General features: G+C 57.5%; 1 long non-coding RNA gene across 1 annotated transcript, besides 13 other annotated features; it reads left to right on the top strand.

The window, feature by feature from the left end:
• Positions 4,678–5,211: an enhancer, noted in NCBI's record as "H3K4me1 hESC enhancer chr21:44794790-44795323 (GRCh37/hg19 assembly coordinates)". NCBI's record gives its function as "activates a minimal SCP1, AML or CMV promoter by ChIP-STARR-seq in primed H9 embryonic stem cells {active_cell/tissue: H9 hESC(primed)}" and the evidence as "EXISTENCE:reporter gene assay evidence [ECO:0000049][PMID:30033119]".
• Positions 6,329–6,829: an enhancer, noted in NCBI's record as "H3K4me1 hESC enhancer chr21:44793172-44793672 (GRCh37/hg19 assembly coordinates)". NCBI's record gives its function as "activates a minimal SCP1, AML or CMV promoter by ChIP-STARR-seq in naive H9 embryonic stem cells {active_cell/tissue: H9 hESC(naive)}" and the evidence as "EXISTENCE:reporter gene assay evidence [ECO:0000049][PMID:30033119]".
• Positions 10,155–10,712: an enhancer, noted in NCBI's record as "H3K4me1 hESC enhancer chr21:44789289-44789846 (GRCh37/hg19 assembly coordinates)". NCBI's record gives its function as "activates a minimal SCP1, AML or CMV promoter by ChIP-STARR-seq in primed H9 embryonic stem cells {active_cell/tissue: H9 hESC(primed)}" and the evidence as "EXISTENCE:reporter gene assay evidence [ECO:0000049][PMID:30033119]".
• Positions 10,713–11,270: an enhancer, noted in NCBI's record as "H3K4me1 hESC enhancer chr21:44788731-44789288 (GRCh37/hg19 assembly coordinates)". NCBI's record gives its function as "activates a minimal SCP1, AML or CMV promoter by ChIP-STARR-seq in naive H9 embryonic stem cells {active_cell/tissue: H9 hESC(naive)}" and the evidence as "EXISTENCE:reporter gene assay evidence [ECO:0000049][PMID:30033119]".
• Positions 10,925–10,984: an enhancer, noted in NCBI's record as "active region_18543". NCBI's record gives its function as "activates an Ori minimal core promoter by ATAC-STARR-seq in GM12878 lymphoblastoid cells {active_cell/tissue: GM12878}" and the evidence as "EXISTENCE:reporter gene assay evidence [ECO:0000049][PMID:35858748]".
• Positions 12,622–13,301: an enhancer, noted in NCBI's record as "H3K4me1 hESC enhancer chr21:44786700-44787379 (GRCh37/hg19 assembly coordinates)". NCBI's record gives its function as "activates a minimal SCP1, AML or CMV promoter by ChIP-STARR-seq in primed H9 embryonic stem cells {active_cell/tissue: H9 hESC(primed)}" and the evidence as "EXISTENCE:reporter gene assay evidence [ECO:0000049][PMID:30033119]".
• Positions 13,302–13,980: an enhancer, noted in NCBI's record as "H3K4me1 hESC enhancer chr21:44786021-44786699 (GRCh37/hg19 assembly coordinates)". NCBI's record gives its function as "activates a minimal SCP1, AML or CMV promoter by ChIP-STARR-seq in primed H9 embryonic stem cells {active_cell/tissue: H9 hESC(primed)}" and the evidence as "EXISTENCE:reporter gene assay evidence [ECO:0000049][PMID:30033119]".
• Positions 14,224–15,423: an enhancer, noted in NCBI's record as "MED14-independent group 3 enhancer chr21:44784578-44785777 (GRCh37/hg19 assembly coordinates)". NCBI's record gives its function as "activates an origin of replication core promoter dependent on BRD2, BRD4, P300/CBP and CDK7 cofactors, and independent of MED14, by STARR-seq in HCT116 cells {active_cell/tissue: HCT116}" and the evidence as "EXISTENCE:reporter gene assay evidence [ECO:0000049][PMID:35650434]".
• Positions 15,977–16,516: an enhancer, noted in NCBI's record as "H3K27ac-H3K4me1 hESC enhancer chr21:44783485-44784024 (GRCh37/hg19 assembly coordinates)". NCBI's record gives its function as "activates a minimal SCP1, AML or CMV promoter by ChIP-STARR-seq in naive H9 embryonic stem cells {active_cell/tissue: H9 hESC(naive)}" and the evidence as "EXISTENCE:reporter gene assay evidence [ECO:0000049][PMID:30033119]".
• Positions 17,533–17,682: a silencer, noted in NCBI's record as "silent region_13360". NCBI's record gives its function as "represses an Ori minimal core promoter by ATAC-STARR-seq in GM12878 lymphoblastoid cells {active_cell/tissue: GM12878}" and the evidence as "EXISTENCE:reporter gene assay evidence [ECO:0000049][PMID:35858748]".
• LINC01679 (long intergenic non-protein coding RNA 1679) lies at positions 17,772–22,066 on the top strand. Its single transcript, NR_131902.1, has 2 exons — positions 17,772–19,229; positions 20,635–22,066. It is a non-coding gene; the product is annotated as a long intergenic non-protein coding RNA 1679 (long non-coding RNA).
• Positions 18,363–18,512: an enhancer, noted in NCBI's record as "active region_18542". NCBI's record gives its function as "activates an Ori minimal core promoter by ATAC-STARR-seq in GM12878 lymphoblastoid cells {active_cell/tissue: GM12878}" and the evidence as "EXISTENCE:reporter gene assay evidence [ECO:0000049][PMID:35858748]".
• Positions 19,296–19,852: an enhancer, noted in NCBI's record as "H3K4me1 hESC enhancer chr21:44780149-44780705 (GRCh37/hg19 assembly coordinates)". NCBI's record gives its function as "activates a minimal SCP1, AML or CMV promoter by ChIP-STARR-seq in primed H9 embryonic stem cells {active_cell/tissue: H9 hESC(primed)}" and the evidence as "EXISTENCE:reporter gene assay evidence [ECO:0000049][PMID:30033119]".
• Positions 19,853–20,410: an enhancer, noted in NCBI's record as "H3K4me1 hESC enhancer chr21:44779591-44780148 (GRCh37/hg19 assembly coordinates)". NCBI's record gives its function as "activates a minimal SCP1, AML or CMV promoter by ChIP-STARR-seq in primed H9 embryonic stem cells {active_cell/tissue: H9 hESC(primed)}" and the evidence as "EXISTENCE:reporter gene assay evidence [ECO:0000049][PMID:30033119]".
• Positions 22,067–22,195: the final 129 nt, after the last annotated feature.

The following is a 22,195-nucleotide window of genomic DNA, read 5'->3' as shown; positions in this document are numbered from 1 at the left end:
TGCACCGTGGTGTTAGAAGGAGACAACTCGGTCTTGGGTGGCAAAGCGCTCTCTGTGCCTGCCGGGTGGGGCCCAGGGCTCCCTGGGGTTTCGTGACCAGCAGGAGATGCTCCCCAGGCAGCTTAGGAGCCCTCTGGGCAGAGGTGCCCTGACCTCCCAGCCCCAGAAGGCACAGGCTGTGTGTTCACTGAGGGGTGGTTTCCAGCTGGCCCTGCTACAGCCTCGGGGGCTCCCCAGAAGGGCTGGCACTTCCTCTGCGCCCACTCGCCCTCACCCTAGAATCAGCCGGTGGGAACCTGGGGACTGCTTCCTACTGGGCTCCAGCTTTCCTGCTCCCGCCACCCAGGAGCTATGACAACAACCCTCTTGCCCACACGGTACCTCCAAGTCCTGGCCTGCCCCCCTCCCTCCCGGCCGAGGGAAAGGGTAGCACTTTTAGGAGAGACACTCGCACATTCTCAGCGTCCTTTTGGGGCATAATTGTCAACGGGGCAGAGCTCAGCCCCATTCTCTCTGGACGCAGGTGTGACCCATCCTGCACAAAACTGAGGCAAAGTCCCCCTCCCGTCACACACAGGGCAGGGCCGGGAGAGCCGCAAGTTGCTCCTCAGTCCAGGAAGGGCCAAGGGGCTTCTAGAGAAGGGGGCTCGGGACCCCCACCCCCGAGGTTGGACAGCTTTGAGGGGTCAGCAGGGAGGGCTGCCAGGAGGCTGATCTGAAGCCCCCCAGTGCCGCACAGATGGGGCACCGCCTCAGAGGCCAAAGACTCAGCACCCCCTCAGCCCACCGCCCACCTGCCCTTGAAGCCTCCTGTAGGGTTCAGGTGTGGTCAAGACAGGGACTCCCCGCTTTCATCCCCAGAGACCTCTGCAGCGGGGGGACCTCCTCCAGGTCGGAGATGCCCTGTATGTCCCTGCCCCGACTCCCCTCCTGGACACCCTTTCCTCCACGGGAGGCCCGGGCCGGTCCTGGGACACTAGCCAGGGCCACTCAACTCCAGGCCTTGCCGGACTTTCTAGAGGACATCTAGCTGACCTCCAGAGGATCACCGAGCAGGAAGGTCCCGTACCACAATCTCACTGTGGCCTCAGGCGGAACCTGACTGTCAGGCAGGCCAAGGTGGCTGCGTAACCGCAGGTTTCTCCTGGACTCCTCCTCACACAGGGCCAACCTCACCCCTCCTCCACTGTCCACAGGTGCCCCAGACACCAAAATATTCATGAAGCCCCCTGAGAAATCAAGGCAATGAGAGCGTGGGTTTCACTCCTGGCCTGGGAGTCACCGTCAGTGGCGGGTTGGGGATCTGGGACCCCGAATCTGATTCTGCTTGGGGTCTGTCTCAGAGGCAGCAGCTCCCCGACGTGCAGACCCCAGGCTTCATGCCACTCCAAGCCTGAAGGTCTTTGCCCAAAAGCAGCATGTCAGGACCTTCCTGCAGGACCTCCCTATTTAAACCACCATGCCCAGGGCTCCCGCTTTATTTTCCCTGTAGCTCCATCGCTACTGAACAGGCTTGGCTTCCTCACCTGTGTCTCTAGCGCCCACCTCCCTTCCATCAAGGGCTTTTCCCCCGAGGGCCGTGCATGGAAGGTGCTCAGCAAAGAGTTGAAGGATCATCAAGTACGAGGCTGGTGCCAGCGGGTCTTTGGTTAGGAGAATTGTCATCACTGCCTGCACTGCAGCCAGCAGCTTGCCCAGGTGTGCCTGGGACCCAGGTGTGCATGTGTGCCTGGAACCCAGGTGTGCATGTGTGCATGGGACTCAGGTGTGCCTGGGACCCAGGTGTGCATGGGACTTAGGTGCACCTGGGACCCAGGTGTCCATAGGATCCAGGTGTGTATGTGTGCATGGAACCCAGGTGTGCATGGGACCCAGGTGTGCATGTGTGCTTGGGACCCAGGTGTGCATGTGTGCATGGAACCCAGGTATGCATGGGACCCAGGTGTGCATGGGACCCAGTTGTGCATGGGACTTAGGTGTGCATGGAACCCAGGTATGCATGGGACCCAGGTATGCATGGGACTTAGGTGTGCATGGAACCCAGGTGTGCATGGGACCCAGGTGTGCATGTGTGCATGGGACCCAGGTGTGCATGGGACTTAGGTGTGCATGGAACCCCGGTGTGCATGGGACCCAGGTGTGCATGGGACTCAGATGTGCATGGGACTTAGGTGTGCATGGAACCCAGGTATGCATGGGACTCAGTTGTGCATGCCCCTCCCCAACAGGTGCACAAGGGACCCAAGTGTGCATGGGACCCAAAACTGCTGGTGACTGGGACGGCCCTTGGCTCGTCTGCTGGTTTCACTGAGGAGAGGCTGCTGCCAGAATCCTGCGGCCAGGTCTGGGGGTGGCTGTCAGGCCATCCCCTCTGGCCCCAAGGTTGGTGGGGGTGACCTGAACCCTCGACCACTGTGCACTCTGTCATGGGAGGGCTTGAAAACCTTCAGTGCCAGCTCTGTTTGCAGCAGGCCTGATGGCTGCCATGGCTGTGTCCTCTGGCAGCGGTGATCCTAAGAAAGGGCCCTCTCAGCTGGGCACGGTGGCTCACGCCTGTAATCCCAACACTTTGGGAGGCCGAGGCAGGCGGATCACGAGGTCAAGAGATAGAGACCATCCTGGCCAACATGGTGAAACCCCATCTCTACTAAAAATACAAAAATTAGCTGGGCATGGTGGCACGCGCCTGTAGACCCAGCTACTTGGGAGGTTGAGGCAGGAGAATCTCTTGAACCCAGGAGGTGGTGGTTGCAGTGAGCCAAGATTGTACCACTGCACTCCAGCCTGACGACAGAGCGAGACTGTCTCAAAAAAAAAAAAAAAACCACAAAAAAATGAAAGGGCCCTCTCAGCTGTTGGGCCGGCCTCTGCCAGGCCCTGCACCCATGACTATCTCTGCCCCTACCTGGGGCTGCTGGAGGGAGATGGCCTCCTCCTAATGCAGGGAGTGTGTCCCTCCTTGTGGAAAGGACCACGGCCTGGGGGCCATCTGGAAGTTGAGGAAGCCTTGAAGGGTGGGGGGAGGAAAGCTGGTTTCCACCCAGCGGAGATTCCGGAAACGGGAGGGTGGCGGGTGACCTTTACATAGTGGAGATGATGACTTGAATAACACCCATCACCCTGTTGCCACTGGCGGGACTTAGAAGGGGCCCTGAGCGTTCATTGGCTACCTCAGTCTCTTATGCACATGGAAACTGAGGCAAGGGGTCCATGGACACCCTTCCCGTGATCCTGGGTTGGTTGCTGTGCGGAGCCTGCTGACCTGAGCCCCTCCTGTATTCGCTCGCAGCACCTGCAGGGGCCTGGGGTGTGTCCCTGACCTCCTGCTGGGACAGGAGTCTCGGAATGATGTAAACACATTCCCTACCCTCAGGGAAAGGGAGGGACAAGAACCCCAACAATCCTACCATACAGGAGGTGCACAGGGAGCTGCGAGGTGGGGCTTTCCCAAGGAGGCCCTGGGAGCATGCAGGTGGAGTAGGGGGCAGGGCAGATCTGCCTGCAGAGCTCAGAGGAGGCAGGCGGGCTGAGCCGGTGGGCTCCGATGGGGACTGGGTGACAGAGCGGAGGGAAGGGCCCGCAGGTGCCTCATCCCTGCAGGAGGTGGGCAGATGACAGTGGGTTATGGAGGAGCCAGTGAAGCTTGTGGGGCTGGGGAGCTGTTGATGCGGAGGGCCCCTCCTCAGAGTCCAGGCAAGGCCCGTGGGCTTCCTGCCCTTACTGGCACCAGGGCCAGGTACCCAGGGCTCGGCACCAACCAACCATGATAGTGAGGAAGTCTAGGGGCCTGGGCTCACCCCCGGTCACTCTCCCAGCACCTGGAGGCCTTTGGCATGGGGGACGAGTTGGGGAGGCCTCTCTTCTCTATGTTGGGGGCTGAAAGCTCGTGACCTCGAGAGGCATGGCTCGGGGGGTTCCAGCTGCCTCTGCCCCCTCTCCCTCTGACCTGGATGGAGCCTAATCCCGCTGACCTCAGTGCCTCTGTGGGAGGCGGTGATGCCTGTGCCAGGCGCTGTGAGCGCCATGTGGCACAGTGTGCAGGTTTGCCAGGCTAGTCCCTGAAGACACCCATGGCAGCCTCCATTCCTCATCTCCCCAGCTGGGCGTGGGGCCTGGGAGTCGGCCGCCTACACAGGACCCTTCACTAGACGCAAGCTCAGTCTCCAAGCCACCAGTACGAATCAATGCTGAGGATCGTGCATGGGGCTGAGACTGGCCCTAAGGTGGACGGTCGGTGGGCGGCCCTCCCCAGGGGTCCCCACCCTGCCTGAAAGGGTGACCCTAAAGACAGAGGGTGCTTGGGGCCTGGGCCCTCGGGATCTCCCCTCTTGGCAGGTGTCCTCTCCCCTTTTGAGCTTCTCCACCGTGGTGTGACACAGCTGGGAAGCCCTCAGTGGGAGTCAGGGCCACACCCTTGAACTTCTCAGCCTGCAGCACTGCGGGCTCAATAAACCTCTTTTCCTTATAAATTGCCCAGTCTCAGGTATTCCTTTATAGCCAAACAAACCAGACTGAGACACAACCCAATGCACGTCACGTGCCCTGCGTGGTGGGGCTTAGGACGCTGGGCCCAGCCAGAGGCCCAGGACAGCCCACAGTGGCTACAGCATTCCCCAAACTCAGCTTCATCACCCCCGGAGCAGGCTGGATTCTCTGTGACAGAGACCACAAAGGGTGCCTCGGGGGCAGTGGGAACACTCACCAGGAGTCAGTGGACACTCAGATGACATCCCTGTGTGGTGGCTTTATAACCTGATCTCCAGGTGGTCAGTCCCGGCTTCTGGGCTGACCCCGGCTCCAATTCACTCCTCCCATTCATACGTTATTGCGAGCATCATGAGCTCTAGGCCCGGGGACACAGCGGGAGACCCAGCACCCCTGAGCATGTGGATGGCCAGGATGTGTGCTGAGGCCAGGGGTCAGATGCACGGCTGTGGAGGTGCCACCATAGACAGTGGGGCCCTTGCTGCATGGGAGGGTCACTGTGAGACACCGCTCCTCACCAGCCACCATGGGCACATGACCCTGGCTGAAACCCTGGCCACCTCCAGCCACCTCTGCCCCAGGCATCAGGAAGGTGCTTGTGTGTCCCATGAGGGAACAGATGGACATAGCAGAAAGAAGGGAGCCGGCCATGTGCTCCCAGCAAAACCCAAATGCCCGGTTCCCTCTCTGCTCCTCTCTCGCTCCTCTCCCACTCCTCTCCCAAACTCTATAAAATCACAGACAGGGCCTCGAAAGGCAGAAATCGGCACAGAAGGAGGGAGACAGGAGGATGGCCCAGGAAGAGCGGATGGTGTTGGAGAAGCTGCTCTGTGGACGGGAAGGTGAGGCGGATGTCCTGGCTGGGGGTGCTAGGTCCTTGCCTGGGGTGGAGCAGGGTCCTCCCAGGGCAAGACTCGCACACCACCCACTGCTCAGGAGCTTGGGTGGGCGGGGGCCGCAGGCCACTTCGCAAGGAGGCCAGATAGTCTCCTTTACCCCTTGCCCCAGGACAACGTCTCCTTTGCCCACTCCAACAGAGGGGATGGTCACTCTGAAGAGGTGACCGCAGAGTGCGGGCAGGGTGGCGGGGCGACAAGAGCCCCCATTGGAGCCAGAGGGTGACCTCTGCACATGCTGGTGGTCCTCCTGGGAGCTGGTGCAATTTGAGCCAAGTTTAAACCCCTGGAGTACTGGAGCATCCCTCTTGGGAAAAGCGGAGGGACCAGGAGTGAAACACTCAGCAACACTGGTGGTGGAGGGTCCCCCAGAGAGATGACCCCAGGCAGCAACTGTCAACCCCATCCCAGGCAGCAGCTGTCAACCCCATCCCCTGACTAGATTCACCCTGTGCTCAGAGCAGCCCAGTTGCCTTTTGGCAGCCTCCTCTGAACTAGAGCCGGATCCCAGGGCCAGCAGGCCTGTGAGGGGTCCCCAGCACAAGACAGGGACCACAGGAAGCCGAGGAAGACACACGCCTGCCTGGGGAAGAGGCACAGACCCTTCACTGTAAGAGCCCTGCCTCTGGGCACAGGAGGGCCAAGGTGAACTCAGGTTGCTGGAGCTGGAGCTTTCTCCTTTTGCCTGTATGCGGGGTGAGCCGCGGCTGCCTGGGTCATGGCCTCCTACAGATCCTAAGAACGGAGACTCCAGTGGGGTCCTCCATGGGGTGACAGAGAAGACACCACAAATGCCCGGCTCAGTTTGAATTTCAGACAAACAGCAAACACCTTTGTAGTCTGAACGCTTGGCCCGAGCAGGGGCCAGGTGGCCGGGCTGGAAGATGTGGCTGAGGGACTGGCCCCAGCAGACGGTCAGTGGGTCCTGAGCCTGGGTGGGGCAGGGTCAGGGGCCCCGCTAGTGGGGTGTGCTGGGCCAGGGGCTCCAAGGTCTGGTGCAGAGCCCTGTGGGCCCAGGCCTGAGGACGACGGAGCCCCAGGGTCCTGGCATCTCACGGGCATCAGTCCTTGGATACATCTCACAGGAACTTCGGATCTTCACTGAAAGCCCCTCCTCCCCCAACCACTTCCGTCCCCAGCAAACACCACCATTTGTCAAGGCTCTTAAACCTAATTGGAGCAAGTCTGGAGCTTGTCCCAGGCTGATGAGTGGCCAGGCCAGGACTTCAACTCTTGACCACGTGGGAGAGTTGACATGAAACCCAGGTTTCCAGCTCTGTCTGGAAAACTTGAAAATCCAGAAACGTTGACTTTTGCATTACTCTTATGCGGCCCCATTTCGTTTTTTCTTTGACTGAAGAGGGTGAGTGAGGAGGAGGGGGGCCCAGCACAGAGCAGAGCCGCCTCCCGCACAGCCTCCGTTCCTGTGGTTCACGTTGCTGGTGAGCAGGTGACCTGGGCGGTGGCCTGAGAAGCTGCCAGGTTTCTCAGTAAAGTGAGAACCAAATTCCAGGCCTGGTCCTGACCAAAACATGCGTCATGGCCAGAGACGTGTGCAAGCCCTGGCAGCTCTGTGGCTCCGGGCAGCACCACACCCGGCCGGCGACCGGGACGTGCCATTGGCTCATCCCACGGTGCGGCTCTGGGGCCGCTCTTTCTAGCCGTCAGGGGTCCCTTCTTTTTGGCTTCACCTGGCTCTGAGGGTTTGGTTTCCGCCTTTCAGAGGATGAAATTCAGCAGAGGTATTGCCATCTTCCTACCGATGCTCAGATAGACAAGGTGAAACAGGGAAGCGGGTGCCGAAGCCCCCGGGGGAGGCCCAGACACACTCATTCACCACAGGCTGCCCGCACTGTGGGTGTAAGCCCCACTGCTGTCATTCACCACAGGCTGCCCGCACTGTGGGTGTAAGCCCCACTGCTGTCATTCACCACAGGCTGCCCGCACTGTGGGGGTAAACACCACTGCTGTCCTCTGAGGGGTCCCTGCCAGACTCACCTCCAGCTGTCACCATGCCTCTCTGTCCTGGTTCCCTCCCCAGACCCCGTTCCCCAGAATGCTCTCTCCTCCTCCCCTTGTGCCCTGAATGATCCCCCAACCCCTCCCCACCTCCCGCCCTGGCTAGGCCTGGGTCTCTCTCATCTCCCGAGGTCTGGCCAGGGGGTCAGGGAGATGGGGCCTGGAGCTGCTGGCCCTGGTGTGGTTCCCTGGTGGGCCACACTGACCTTGTTGCCTGGTGGTGGGGACAGGCAGAGGTGCAGGAACAGCTCCCCAAGCCCTGAGACCCAGACCTCCAGCCCGGTGCAATAGATACCCACATGGCAGGGGGCGGAATGAATACGCAGAAACCTCTTCCCCTACCTCCACACCCAGAAGAATTCCCTTATTTTCTAATTCATAGACGCCAGCTATCTTCATAGTCCCTGAATTATTAAGTGGGTTGTAATGGCCTTTGTGTTTTATTCATTATGTTTCTTACGTGTAGTGAGCCTCACACACCCCATCTCAAGAAGTTGTTTGAGGGACGCTGATGTTTTAATGGTTTGGGGGGTTATTCATACACTTGGCCCCTCCATTGCCATCCCAAGCAGGGTGGGCCACAGCCTCCTTAGGAGATGAGGGTTGAATGCACATTCCCTTGTGTGTTCTGCGGCTGTCTGGGGACACCCACTGTGGTCCAGGCACCTCCAGAAGTGTTGGGGATCCCACGGTGAGCAAGCCACATGCAGGCGTGGCCCATGCAGCACTCACAGGCCAGCCGGGCGACGGCCACGTCAAGCAAAGATGCAAGCTGGCGCCCGGTTGTTGTGGGAGTGTTCAGAAGGACACCCCCAACCCCATCTCTATGCAAGCATCCCTGGTGCCAGTGTGCATCCATTCCTGGAGGGCTGGCCTGGGCTTCTGTCACCCACTCAAATCACCCCACAATGGAGTGTTTTCCTGGATCACCAATTCCTGGTTTGGAGGTGTAACCCAAAAAATATCAGAGACAGGTCTCAATCAATGTAGAGGCTTATTTTGCTATGGTTAAGGGCCATGGCCTGTGACACAGTCTCAAGAGGTCCTGAGAACATGTGTCCAAGGTGGTTGGGGTGCAGCTTTGCTTTCATACATTTTAGGGTACAGAAGTTGCAGGCAAAGATATCAATCAATACATGTAAGGTATACATTGGTGTGACCCAGAAAGTGAGAGGCTTCCAGGTTATAGGTGGATTCAAAGATTTCCTGATTGGCAATTGGTTGAAAGAGCTGAGCTTTGCCTAAAAAGTTTGAGGTCAGCAGAAAGAGATGCTTGAGTTAAGACAAGGGGATCGTGGAAGCCAAGGTTTTTGTTATGTAGATGAAGCCTCCAGATAGCAGGCTTCAGAGAGACTAGATGGCAAATGTCTCTTATGGGACCTTAAAATGTGTCAGACTCTCTGTAAAAGACCTATTAAGGGCAGGGAATTCTCTACAGAATGCAAATTTCCCCCTTAAGAGACAGCTTTGCAGGGCCATTTCAAAATATGTCAGAGAAATATATTTTGGGGTAAAGTACTTTTATTTTTTTCCAGGCCTGCTATCAGTCATGTGATGCTATACTAGAGTCAGGGTGGAATTTGGTGTCTTATTGCTACAAAGAGTCTTTTCTGCCAGTCTTATGATCTCTGTTTTCATGTTAATGCTGGTCAGCTGTGCCTAAACTCCAGAGAGGGAGGAGAGTATTATGAGGCATGTCCAACCCTACCTCTTCCCATCCTGGCCTGAACTCGTTTATCAGGTTCCTTTGGGATCCCCTTGGCCAAGAGTAGGGGAGCCATTCAGGCAGTTGGGGGGCTTAGAATTCTATTTTTGGTTTACAGGGAATACTGTACTAATCCCAAAGGTGATTTCTGGAAGGATAGCTTCTGTGTGCAAATGAATCTGGGGGTTCACAGCGCACATGTGCGTATTAAAGGCCTGAGGAGTCCTGCAGGGAAACACACACAACTCTGCTCACCTTCATGTAAACTGGCATTTCTCAAACTTACTTACCCATAGACTTGTTGTTTAACGTTGCGTTTATTGGCACCTACAGGGTAAGTGTGTGTGTAGTTGCACCCAGTACGCCCTTTCTGGAGAAGCAGAAACCCCCAGGTCACATGGCTGAGGCGTGGCTGCAGCGTGTATGAGGACAGATTGCCGCTGGGGCCCCAGGGGAGGGACCACTGAGTGGGGTTCTCGGATCTGACACACCGTCCCTGCAGATGGCCCCTCAGCGACATGGTGGCCTTCTCATCACTGCTCCGCCAACGGAGGGGAACGGCCTGATGAATCATGCATGATTCATTAATCTTAATTAAAATGCAAACGTATTGCCAACCTTCTCTGATAATTAAAGCCCATTGTGGGAATATGCTTAAAGCTTCTAGGCTGACGTTTCTTTTGCTGAAGCAAAACAGATGACTCTTTTAGCTCTGAAAAGTGGTGTTGAAAGTGGTGCTGCCGGGGGGCGTGCGGCGTGGACAGACAGGTGAGATCCACAGAGAAGAGGCTCCCTGCCTCTCAGTCTCCTCTCTCTTTCTCACGCACGTGCACACACGTGTGCCCTGGGCTCACTCTTCAGCCATACACTGAGCTGTATTTTCCTCAGTGCTACCAGACCCGCAGGCTCCCAATTTGGCAAGGAAGGAAAAACTAATTATGGCTTCATGTCCTGCAAGAAAGAGCCTGCAGCGGCTCTTCAGAAACCTGCCGGTGGGTCAGAAGCACGGCCAGGCCGCCTGCAAACGCCTTGCTGGAAAAATCTCTCTCTGAGCAACTGAGCCGGGTCCTGTGTGCTGGAGGGGACACTGAGAGGCCACAGGGTGGGGAGTGGGCGGGCAGTGAGGCTGGTGACCACCGGCACAGCACCAGGCTCCCACGCAAGGGGAATCCTGGGGCTTTGGAAAAAGTCAAGTCGCAGTTTCACGCACGATCCCCACGCAGCTGTGCCAAGCAGTGCCAAGGCTGTGCTGAGATCATCGGTGTCTGCCCTGTCAGAGGGGCTCGTGCTCTGAGAGATGGAGCGAAAAGTAAACTTTGCCCACCAAGAAAACCTGGTATCCCAACAGTTGTGGAGCTGCTGTGACACCGACTGCTGGCTGCCCTGTGAGGTCCAGTCCCCGCAGGTTTCATCCAAGACCCCCATTCCAGCTGACACAGAGCATTTTAAAATAAAACCCTGTCTTTTCCTGTGTCTTGGCCAGCGGGGCTGCATTCAAGAAAGTACAGCAGCCTTTCCTGACAGCCTCCTCCACGCCTCGACCCTGCAGCCCCTGCCTCTCCCCTGCGCTCCCCCTGCCCTCCCGCCCAGGTCTGTGTTTTCTGCCAGGGCGTCCGGTTCTTTCCTTCTGCTCTCAGCTCTCATCTGCCCCTCATCTTGCCTCACAGGGCTCCAGCTCTGGGCTGACAGTGACGGTAACAGGGACGTGTGCCGATGACTCATCCCGTCCCTCACATGCGTGTGTGTCTAGCCCTTGTCTCGCTGTGCTGCCTCCATCCACATCAAGTGGCACAAATGGAAACGGGTCACCACTGTCCTTGGGATGAGCCTGGTGTCATGGCTGAGTGGTTCTGTCACCAAGTCTTTTCGTGGTTTGCCATAGAGGTGTCTTTCCAGAATCATTTTTTTTTTTATGGACTTGATTGAAATGGGTCAGATTAGCCATGCTCCTGAAATTCTGCCATCAGCCCACACACATGCACACACACATGCACACACGCACACACATGCATGCACACACAGGCAGACACATCACACACATGCACACATGCATGCACAGACACATCACACACATGCAGACACATCACACACATGCACACACATGCAGACATCACACAATGCACACACATGCGCACGTGCACACATATCACACACATGCACACACATTCTCACACATGTAGACACATCACACACATGCATGCACACACATGCACACACGCATGCACAGACACATCACACACATGCACTCACGGACACACACACATGCACGCACACACATACACATGCATACACACACATGGTCACACCACTGACCATACTGGTCTGATTAACTTTTTATTTTAAAACAATTACATATTCACAGGAGGTTGCAAAAAAAAAAATCTAGAGATTCCATGTACCTTTCACTCAGTTTTCCCCTGGGAACATCTTGTGTATCTGCAGCTCGGGACCAAGACCACGCTGTTTCCAAAATGCCCTGGTGACTGCTGGGCTCACGTGGTGGAGGGGTATCCCGGCCTGCTCATGTGGCTTGCACGCTGTGTGTGTCTCTGAAGCTGGGGTTCCCTGAGCCATGGGGATGCCCCCACTCTGGGTCTGTAACTGTGGGATACTCTCAACAGTTCCTTCTTCATCGGGCTCAAATGCAATCCTTGCATCCCAGTGTCTCATCTCTGCCCCTCTTGTCCCCGTTGTCACTGCCAGCACGCACCTCCTTATGAGGCCTGGGCAGGACCCCATCTCTCTGATGAAGGCTGCCACCATCTCTATTGCTGCCTTCGTAAATGTGCTCCTCATTCTGGGCACACTGGAAGTGCTCAAGCACCAGTGAAGCTGAGCACTTCTGAGCGGCCACTGAGGTGCTCCTGGCCAACCTCCCCCCAGTCATCCCCCATGCACTCCTCTCCTCGGCTCTCCTCCCAGTCATCCCCTAGACACTCCTCTCCCTGTTCCTCCCCCAGTCATCCTCCAGCACTCCTCTCCCCAGCACTCCTCCCAGTCATCCCCCAGGTACTCCTCTCTGTGTCCCTGGGGGATTGCTGGGGGGTTACCCAGTTTGGGGTGGGATGCAGGGTGGTGGTGTGAGGGGTAGGAAAGGCTGGGGGTGAGAGTGAGTTCCGTGCAGGGGGGTGACAGGAGCCCCACCTGGGGCCAGGTCCCTGTAGCCTTGCAGCTCCAGGGGCCGCTGGCAGGGGCCACCTTGAGAGGAGGAGGCCCTGATCCTGTTCCCTTCCTCAGCCTGGAAGGCCTTGGCCCTCCTGCTCCAATTCCGGGTGGAGACACCCCTTCCTGTGGCTCCCCTGTGCTCTGAGGCCCTGGCCTCCAGGGGCTGGCTCAGCACTCAGACACAGCCCTGGAGGGCAGCAAGGAACCCCCTCAGGCTGTTTTGCACGGGGTTTGTGACAGGGGACAGTGACCGAGAGAGCTGGGGAGAGCCGTGCCCAGCTGTGCTTCCGGCCCTGAGATCGGTGCCAGTTCCCCACAGCTGCTGCAACAGACGGCCACAAATGGGGTCATTTACAACAGCAGAAACGTGTCCCGGCTCCGGCTGGAGGCCAGACGCCTGCGATCAAGGTGCGGCGTGTCGAGCCGTGCTCCCTGCAGGGAGGAATCTGTTCCTTGCCTCTTCTGGCTTCTCTGTTGCCAGCAGCCCTTGGCATCTCTGGCTTGCAGAGGCATCGCTCTAGCCTCTGCCTCCAGCTTCTCAGGCCTTCCTTCCTGGGCCTTCACGCAGCTTCCCTCTGCGCATCTCTGCGTCTTTCCTCCGCTTACCAGGCACCAGTCGCACCGAATCAGGGCCCACCTCTCTCCAGGGTGACCTCATCCTAACTGACATCTTAATACACCTGCAGTGACTCCACTTCCAGAGAAGGTTGCATTCATGGTTGTGGGGTGCAGGCTTCGACAGATCATTTTGGGGACACAATTCAACCTGCTCCATTTGCCCTTTGTGTCCTCTGATGGGCTGAGAAACGTGCCCAGCTGGCACCAGGCCCAGGGCCCTGAATCCCCAGGAGTCAGAACCCCGGGCCGTACCCTGGTTCTGCCTGTTGGGGGATCGTCCCTTCAGTGATCTGGGGATCTGTGCCTGGTCTCCGCATGGGGTGCCTCCCGGCTCTCACAGTCATGGAACGTCAGCACCAGCACCTTCGCTGCCCTGCTGTGCCCATTTCCCAGCGAGGACACTCAAGGCGCGCAGGTGGAGACAAGGCTTTGGGCCCTCGGCAGGATGGTGGCAGTGCTTCGAGGGGCTGCAGAGGCACAAGTCCAGCCTCCATGTCGTGCTCAGAGGGCAGAAAGCCAGGGTCACCCCAGGCCCTACCCATCCGACCTGACGCGTGCCCACCACTGGCGAGCCGACCACAGAAATGTGGCTTCTAGATGTAGTTTGGAAAAGTGTTTTTGAGAACAAATCATGCAATCACTGATATTTGTGAAGATTTAAAAATTAGAATAAATATGTGCTATTTTATTAATGAACATAAATTTGAATATTTAGGGAAAGATGCATTTTCAAGGACTTTTCGGGCATATGCTTTTTAAAAATAGACTTTTTTTAGAGCAGTTTAGGTTCGCAGCCAAATTGAGCGGAAGGTACAGAGATTTCCCATACACTCCCTGCCCCCACACACGCACAGCCTCCCCCACTATCCACGCCCCCACCACAGCGGTGCAGACTTTACGACAGATGATCCCACATTGACAGAAGGCTTCAGAGTGAGTGTTGGGCATTCTAGGGGTTTGGAGAGACGTGTGATGACCTGGACCCTCCGTGATGGCGTCACGCAGAGCGGCACTGCCCTGAAACCCTCTGCGCTCTGCCTGTTCCTCCTCCCCCAGCCCTTGGCAAGCACTGATCCTTCCTCTGTCTCCACAGTTTAGGCGGATGTTTTTTAATGAAGCAGTTGATCTGAAAGCAAATGAAAAAAGCCAGGAATAGAAAAAACAAAAAACAAAGGCAAGGCTCTGTGGGATGGCCCCTGGGGGAGTGGGGCGGGGTCTGTGAGGACATCACCTCCGCGTGGTCTCTCCACGCTGTGCTACCCTGGGCCACCCCTCCTGACCCTAAGAGCGCCAGGGTTGGTGTCTGTCTGTGGCCCCACAAGCCCCAGGGCAGCATCTTACTCAGGGGAAACGTGACTGGTCTTCCTTGAGCTTCCCAATGCTGGAGCCCAGCTGGCCTCAGTGCTGGCACCCATGGGTGCTCACGAGCTATGGCCATGAAGGCCCAGAATGGCCGTGGCCTCAGCATTCCTCTCTCTGCATCAGTTACCTCTTGGCCAATTGCCTAGGGGCCCCCCCACTCCCACAGTGCAGTAGCCTGCTCACCCCAAGGACAGGTCAGACCCAGGGCCAGCCTGACCCTCAGCGTCTTCCTCTGGATGCATTACCCTCCACCTCCTTCCACTCTTCCTCCTCCTTCTCCAGGGACCTCACACTTGGGCACTGCTTGGTCTTCAGGTCCGGAGGTTGGACTGGCGGAGAAGCCAGGCCCGGGAAGTCCTAGGTGCTTGGGAATTATTCAGGAGCAGGAAAGGCCTTTGTGGGGTTCCTGCAGCCCCACTCCAGTGACTTTTCAGGGGGCTTCCTCAGACTGTGAGAGCTGAGGGCGGTGTTGTTACCAGCCTGAATGCAGCCACCTGATGTCCTTGAAAGCCCACTTGCTGTACCAGGGGTGACTCTGTCAGTGAGATGCTGATTAGAGGACACAGGCGTTTCCTCTCGATCAGGTGAGGCCCAGCTGGGCTCTCCTGGCCAGCAGCCAGGAGCAGGAGACTTTGCTGCCTGTCGGGACTTCTGGGCGCCAAAGCCGCAGGCTAATGCCGCCTGGTGGGCAGTGAACCCTGGGCTCATGAGACCCCAGCACCGCCACCCTTGGCCTGAGGCTCTGCAGTGTGGCCCTGCCTCTCCAGGCTTCGTCAGCACGGGGTACCTTCTCGAGCCACACTAATAGGAAACTCACCACAGGACTCACGCGTTGGCCCTGAGAACAATGGCTTGTGCCGCCGTAAAAGGTTGTAATGGACAAAAAAATAAGAAGAGTGTGTGACAAAGGCTGCAGGAGGCCCTTAAAGTCCAAGGTAAGTAGGAAATGAGACACCAGGCCCTTTACGGAAACAGGAGTGGCCAGGGAGCCCGCAGCTCTTTCTGCCTGCCCGGCTTCATTCTGTCGTGGGCTTATCCCAGCAGTGGCCCAATGCCCGGAGCTCCAGGCATGTCTGTCCCAGCAAAGGGTGCTACCCACTTCCAAGGTTCTGGAAAGGTCCCGAGGCCCCACCACAGTCTGAACCGGGCCAGAGGATCAGGGCCCCTGAGGAATGCTGTCTCTGTGCCTCTGAGCATCAGGGACCAGAGCCCTAGAGCCCACCAGCACTGGGGGGCGTGGGAGCTGCCAAAAGAAGGTTGGGGTGCTGTGCCCATACAAGGGGGAATGGAAGCTTGGAGAACTGAGGTCAGCTGTCCTCCAGGGCAGTATAACCCCCCAGGGCCGGTGTGGGGCTCAAACACAACCATGGAGCTGTCCACTCCTAAACGGGGCCTGACAATCACAGGATGGCAGATGCACGTGTGCTTCGCCTCTTTCTGCTGTAAAAATGCCCCTTTGAGTCAGTTTCTAGCCGGTTACACTGTAGTATCAGACACAGGATCTCATGTCCCACCTTCCCCAGGGTTTCCTGCTCGAGCGGCATGTCGGCTGTGCCTCTTCCTTCTGGAACCAGGGTGGAGGTGCAGCCCCTGCCTGTGGGGCATGGTCCTCATGGCCGCTGGAGCAAGCCTGGTGGAGCCCAGCCATGGCTCTGAGGCTTCCACTGGGGCAGGGCTATGTCATGTGCCCCATTTCATCTGCCAAAGCCTCCACGTGGTCCCCGCTGACCATCAGCAGGGCTGGAAAGTCCATCCTCTTACTGGGGGGAGACCAAGAGCCCCGGCCACCACAGCCGGATTGTGCAACCCCATTTTCCCTTAAGAGCAATCAGCCTGTTGAAACTAGAGATGGAATTAGCACCTTAGAGCTAAGGGCAACACAGAAGTGGGGAAGGGTGAACCTTGAGGGTGTGTCCTCAGCGGTGGGTTTGTCTCTCCCAGGCAAGGCGCTCTGCCTGCGGCTCAGCCCGGCTGAACGGGTGCTGGGCCTGTCCCTTCCCAGGGCCCAGCAGCTGAGCTGGAGGACGAAGCCCGGGTGGACGCTCCACACCATGGCCTCCAGGGAGTGTTCCCGACCTGGAGGAGGCAGGTGGGCTCCCCCTTGACCAGGATGCAGATGACCCCCTTGTGCCACCTGCACGATGCGCCCTAAGGGGCAGGGCCACTCCTCGTCTGCCTTCCTCTCCTGCAGGTCACCGGGGTGGCCCTGGTGGAGACTGACCTGGAGGGAGCCAGGCTCCCAGTGCCTCTCTCTGACCCAGCTGCAGGAGGGGCGCCTGGTGGCTTGCGTGCTGTGCCCTTGAGGATCATCTGTAACCAGCACCAGCCCCACCCTGCCCTCCGGACAGGACGCGCGGGCCAGGTTGGCGAGTCTGGAGGGGCTTTCTCAGGCATAGCCACTGTGAGAGCCGAGGTCCCCCACAGCCTGCAGCAGGGGACCTTTTCCCTGAGACCATGGGTACTTGCTGTAGTCCAGCTGGCGGGCCTGAGATCCTGACCCCATGTGCACATGGTCGGCACTATTGCATCCACTGGAAATTTCAAAGTAAAATCAGGACACGTGGGGGCAGGGAAGTGGGCTTGAGCGCTTCGCAGAGAGACCCTGCACCACCTCCCATTTGCTACGCTGGTTTCTTGAATGAGCGGCCCTCATTCATCAGACACCAATCTGCCCACAAACTTCTGACCAGGATCTGAGAATTCAGAGAAACCAGCCCCAAAACCACAGGCCTAGAAGCCTGGAACCCAGAGAGTGATTCCAGGAAATCATGGCAGGTGCACGCTGAGGTCACTTAGGCTGACCACAGCGAAGGTCAACGGCGGCCATCATAAATCAGTTTGCCCAGGACAGGCCCAGTGATGCCTGTGGTCCCAGTGCGTGTATTAACAACCTTCTCCTTTCTTCTCAAGGGGCTCAGATGGGTCGGTAGATTATACGGTCACCCTTGTCATGTCGGATTATGAACAAAATTTCAAGAGCTGCCTCCCTTCAACAAACCCACTGTGCAAAAACCCATCTTCCTAGTCAAGCAAATTAGGAAGAGATTATTCATTTTCCAAAAGACTTTTCCTTTGGCCAGGAAAGAACACCCTTAGTTTGCCAGAAAATCCTGCCAGCCGCCTCCCTGAGTGCATGGACTGCTAGATTCCGTTTTGTAAAATCGAGACAGCGGCTCAGGCGCACATGCAGTGCGTGGAGTGCAGAAGGCCTGGGTACTCCGGAAGCTTCCAGAGACAGCGTGGGGCGGCTGACGTGCGGGGAGACACAGACGTGGAGGACGCCACGGCCGCCTCGCCCCCAGGGCTCCCGGAGCGCGGCTGGCTGAGGAGCCAAGCAGATGGTGCTGCTGAGCGTTTCCTGCCTGGGCGGGAGGAGGTGGGGTTGCCGCCGGCGGGGCCTGTGACTGTGAGTGCGGCTCGCTGAGCAGCTGATGTGGGGGGTAGGGGGGGCGCGGATTACGCCATGTGTGACGGCAGAGGGGGGACAACGTGTCGAGAGACGTGGCCTTGGATGTAAGGAAGGGTCGTGAGAAAATACGCAGGAAGAGATACCCCGTGGACATGTTTCCCTTGGAAAGTGGAGGGAACCCTCTGAGCCGTGATTCCGCCTGAATTAAGCAGTGGCGGGCACTGGCCTGGCAGGCGGCTTCTACTGCCTTGGATTTGCACCTCTAAGGGGTCACAGGGGCCACCCCCGAAACAAGACAAAGTGTGATCATGGACAGGCCCTCGGGGGGCCGGAAGAAGGAACGGCTCCAGTGATGAAAGCTGAACGCCAGCTCTCTCCCCATCGTTCTCCCGGACCAGGAGAGGGCTGCTCGGCAGGGCTAGGTTTAAAAACCTTCCATGCAACTTACGAAGGCATCCACAGTGACTTCTGCTGCTGTGGTACGTTCTGCCCTCCCCTCCTCCCCGCCCCATCCTGTTCTCGGCTACAAGTTATTTATATGTACAGTGTCATCTGAACGTGCACGGGCCTATCCCAGGACATCACACACAAAGAGGCGGCGGTGAACCCAAGCCGCCGGGCCGGCCTGTGGCTCAGTGTGTGTTTCAGAAGTCCCGGCCCCAGGCAGCTCTCCTGAACAGAGCCACTGGAACTCAGGAGGGTCAGGACCACAGCCCAAACAACTGCGACCGAAAACACCCTACAGGGCTTGAGAACTAAAAAATAAGGAGGGATCTGGGCAGCCGAGCTGCCTCCTAAAGAAGCCACGTCATAGAGAAAACTGCTTGCTCTATCCATGAGACGGAGGCGGCCGGGGTGTCCTGCCAGCAGACACGGGTCTGTCCATCACCGGCCACCACGCTGCCTCTGTCCTTCACTCCCATTTAAGGGAAAACGATATCTCTTCATCTTTCTGCCCTGGACATTGGAAATCAGCGGTGAGAACAGTGCTCTTGCTACAAAATGCTCAGGTTCTAGAATGCTCCCATCTTTCCTTCCATTCCACATGGAGTTTATCCAAAGCACAAAGGCCAGTCACGGCACTGACATCCGTGGTGCCCGCTCACCGGGGAGTGGGAAGCACAAGCCTGTCCTCAGAGGACCGTGACTGTGAGCCCGCAGCTGCTTGTGGGTGGGGCCAGCCCGCAGCTCCTCCTGGAGGCCTCGGGCTTCTTGCTGCTGCATTTCTGTGACATGTGGAGGGAGGATCGTTTTGACACCTGCCTGGGAAGTTTCAAAGGAGATGGCCTCTGGGCAGGGGTTTTAAACTGAAGGGCACCACACAGATCCAGATGTGAACTGTGGCTGTTGTTTGCAATTGAAGCAGAGATGCAGAGGATGGAACAGGAGTGCTGGCCATGCTGCTCTATGGCCTTGGCCCAGCCAAGACCTGCAGTCAATGGGGCTACGGGACCCCCGCTACACAGGGACCTGGGAACCACCTTTGCCGCGGTTGACCGCTGGGCCCGCCATGCACCGCCCACACCTGGCTGTGCCTGGAGACTGAGAGCAGGGGGTGACGGTGGGCCTGGTGTGTGGAGTCCCGCAGCGGGAAGGGTGGGAGGGGAGGTGGGAGAGCGCAGTCACCCAGGGGTCCCCATGTGGGCTTGTACAGGCCTGGCCCAATCTGACAGCAACTGGGCAGGCAGAGCGAGCCCCCACTTTATGGGTGAGAAAACCGAGGCACGGAGAGGTGAATGCGCGTGGTATCAATGCCGCTAAGGCAGAAGTGAGGCGGAAAAGCCCGTCCTCGCGAGGGGCGGCCCTGTCTCCAGCTCCCAGGTACCTCCCGCTCATCTGCCCGAGGCTCCTGGGGATGTGGCTCTTGGGTTTCAGGAGGGCCCTGCTCCTCCTGTGGGAACCACGGACACGTGTGTGCCCGCGTGCCCTGAGCTCACACACACACACCATGGCGCATGGGCAGGGAAGCGGCGCTCCTGGCTACCCGGTGAGCATCTTTGCTTTCCTTCTGCTCTAAGTAGGCACCCAAGGAATACACGCGTTCACTCAGAGCCTGATTCATGTGACTGGGATAACACTGCGGGGAAAGGTTCTCACACAGTGGCTGACATGAGGATCCATTACAAGAGCCCAGGGTGGTCACTGCTAAGCATGGGGTTGAGGTGAATGGACCCCCAGCAGCAGCCAGTGACAGGGAGGGTTGGGGTGTGGGTTTAGCCGGGCAGGTGACTCTCTTTTGGGCAGCCAGGGGCTCGGGACGTGTGGACAGCACATGGTGAAGGCAGAGGCTGCGTGCTGTGTGCCTCAGAACCGGTGCCTGTTCCAGGTTAGGAACCAGAAAATCCCCTGCAGGGGCTTCTGCCCGCTCCCTCTTTGAAGTCCTGTTTTCATTTCCCCTGTGACACCAGCCTCTCCAAGCTCTATGGAAGGCTGGCTCTCCTGGCACGGCCTCCCCCGCCACTCTGGGTGCCGGCTCAGGTTCTCTGCAGACCCCAGGTTCTGCTCTCGGGTCTGCACCCAGCGTGATGGCCACCACCCACTCAGGACTCCATGGTGTCAAAAAAGTGCCAAGACCTGTTTCCTGCTTTAAAATACCATGCTGTTGGGAGTTTCTCTGAATCTTCTGTGATTCTGGAGGCTGCCTGATTTTAAAAAAATGTAGAAAATAAAATTAAAAACCATGCTGCAATGTAAAAGCCAGGATAAGCCTCTTGCAGCTGAATTCAGGTCTTGAAAGCTAACAAGTTTTGAGTTTCAGTACTTGCCCCCCAAAATGGTTGCTTATCGTGTGTGTGTGTGTGTGTGTGGTGTGTGTTTACACAGTGAACAACCTGATACCTTTGGCTGAAATGGGCTTTGTGTGGGCGTCGGGCCAGGGGGCTGCTGGGCTCCAATGTCTCCCAGCCCTGACTCCTGGGTGTTGGCCTGCCTCAAGTTTGCATATTCATTGACTGAAATCTATTTTATTTCCTCAGGAAGAGTCTCTCCCTTTTGCAAACGCCAGCCACAGAGGTTTATTTTTCTCCCTGAGAGAAGGAAGAGTGAAGGCTGAGACTGAGACAGAAGGACAGAAGGAGAAGACTTAGAAGCCAGTGAGCCCGGAACCACGAGACGCGCTCTGAGGACACGGGGCCTCGGGGAAACCGGGCACGGGCAGGGGTTGGTCTTGGCTTCCCCGCAACATTGCCGCGAGCTCGGGTGCCGTCTCCACTCGCAGGCTGGCCTGTCCTCTGCAGCCACGAGCTCAGGCACCGTCTCCGTTCATAGGCCAGCCTGTTCTCTGCAGCCTGAGGTCCCTGTGGTGCCAACATCCAGATGCTGAGATAATTCTGCCAGGGTGTTGGCTGATCGGTGATTGGTGGTTGGCTGTTCCGTGAGTTCTGCATTGATCTTGCTGGCTGAGCGTCCAATGCGGAGGGGCAGGTGCTGTTAGGGTCTCCACTCCCATCCCTCTCCCCAGGACTCATCACCCACTGCAACCGTAAGCTGCTAGGGGCTCACAGCCGTGAGTCTTTGGGACGGGTGGTCCCACCTGGCATGTAGCTCAGGCTCCTAGCCCCAGGACCCTGCCGCTGCTCCCCTCCCGCCCACATCTTGGCTTAGCCGTCTTCCCTGGCTGCCAGCCCCTTCCCCTGGTCTTAGTTGGCTTGAGCCACTAAACTGAAATAGCACACCCTGAGGCCTTCAACAGCAGACCTGATTTCTCACCATCTGGAGGCTGGAGGTCCAGGATCCAGGCCCCCAAGGCTGCTTTCTCCCCCACTCCCCCACCCACCTTCCAGGACACGCAGACTCCACCCTCTTGCTGCCCTGTCTCAGGGCTGTCCCTCTGGGCAAGCAGGCCCCTGGCATCCCCGTGTGTCTTCTCCTCCTGTTCTTATAAGGACACCAGTCATACTGGATCTGGGCCCACCCTAGTGACCTCATTTACCTTAATCACCTCTGAAAGACCTTGTCTCAAAAACAGCCACATTCTGGGGCACTGAGGGTTAGGGCTTTAACATGGGAATTTGAGGGATGCAATTCACCCCATAAAACCCAGACCATTCCCCCAGTAAATCACTTTCACAAGAGCTCTTCTCTCAGGCTTTGCTTCTGGGGGATCCCCCTTGAGATGGATCCATCTAGCTTCCTGCTTCTCAAAGAACAGAGGGGAGAGCTCTGGTGCGAAGGGAACGGGTGGCCTCGGGGACCTGCGGATAAGCTGCTGGCACTGCCAGGGGACAGGCTGAGCTGAAAGCCAGGAGGAGGGCGGCGAGGCCCGGGGCCGGACCTCATTCTTCTGAGTGTTATAAAATCTGGCTTTGCTCAGAAACTGCCCCATGTGTGCTTTTGTTAATTGAAGTGCAAAATTTTCTCCAAGTAATAACTGGAGTCGTTTAACAATACAAATAATTTGCACCTTAATTTGGTCGATGGCACAATTGCTAATTCCTAGAGACTCAGAGGAGCAAAGTGATCACGAATTCCAAGAGTGGAAACAAATCCATTCCGCAAATTTCACCCTGGCTTCTTCCTCGCCGGCCTGGGAGCTGC

This window comes from Homo sapiens, chromosome 21, assembly GCF_000001405.40.
Source record: "Homo sapiens chromosome 21, GRCh38.p14 Primary Assembly".
NCBI lineage: Eukaryota > Metazoa > Chordata > Mammalia > Primates > Hominidae > Homo > Homo sapiens.
Note: the sequence above shows the minus strand (reverse complement) of the source record. Positions and strands in the feature narration are given on the sequence as shown.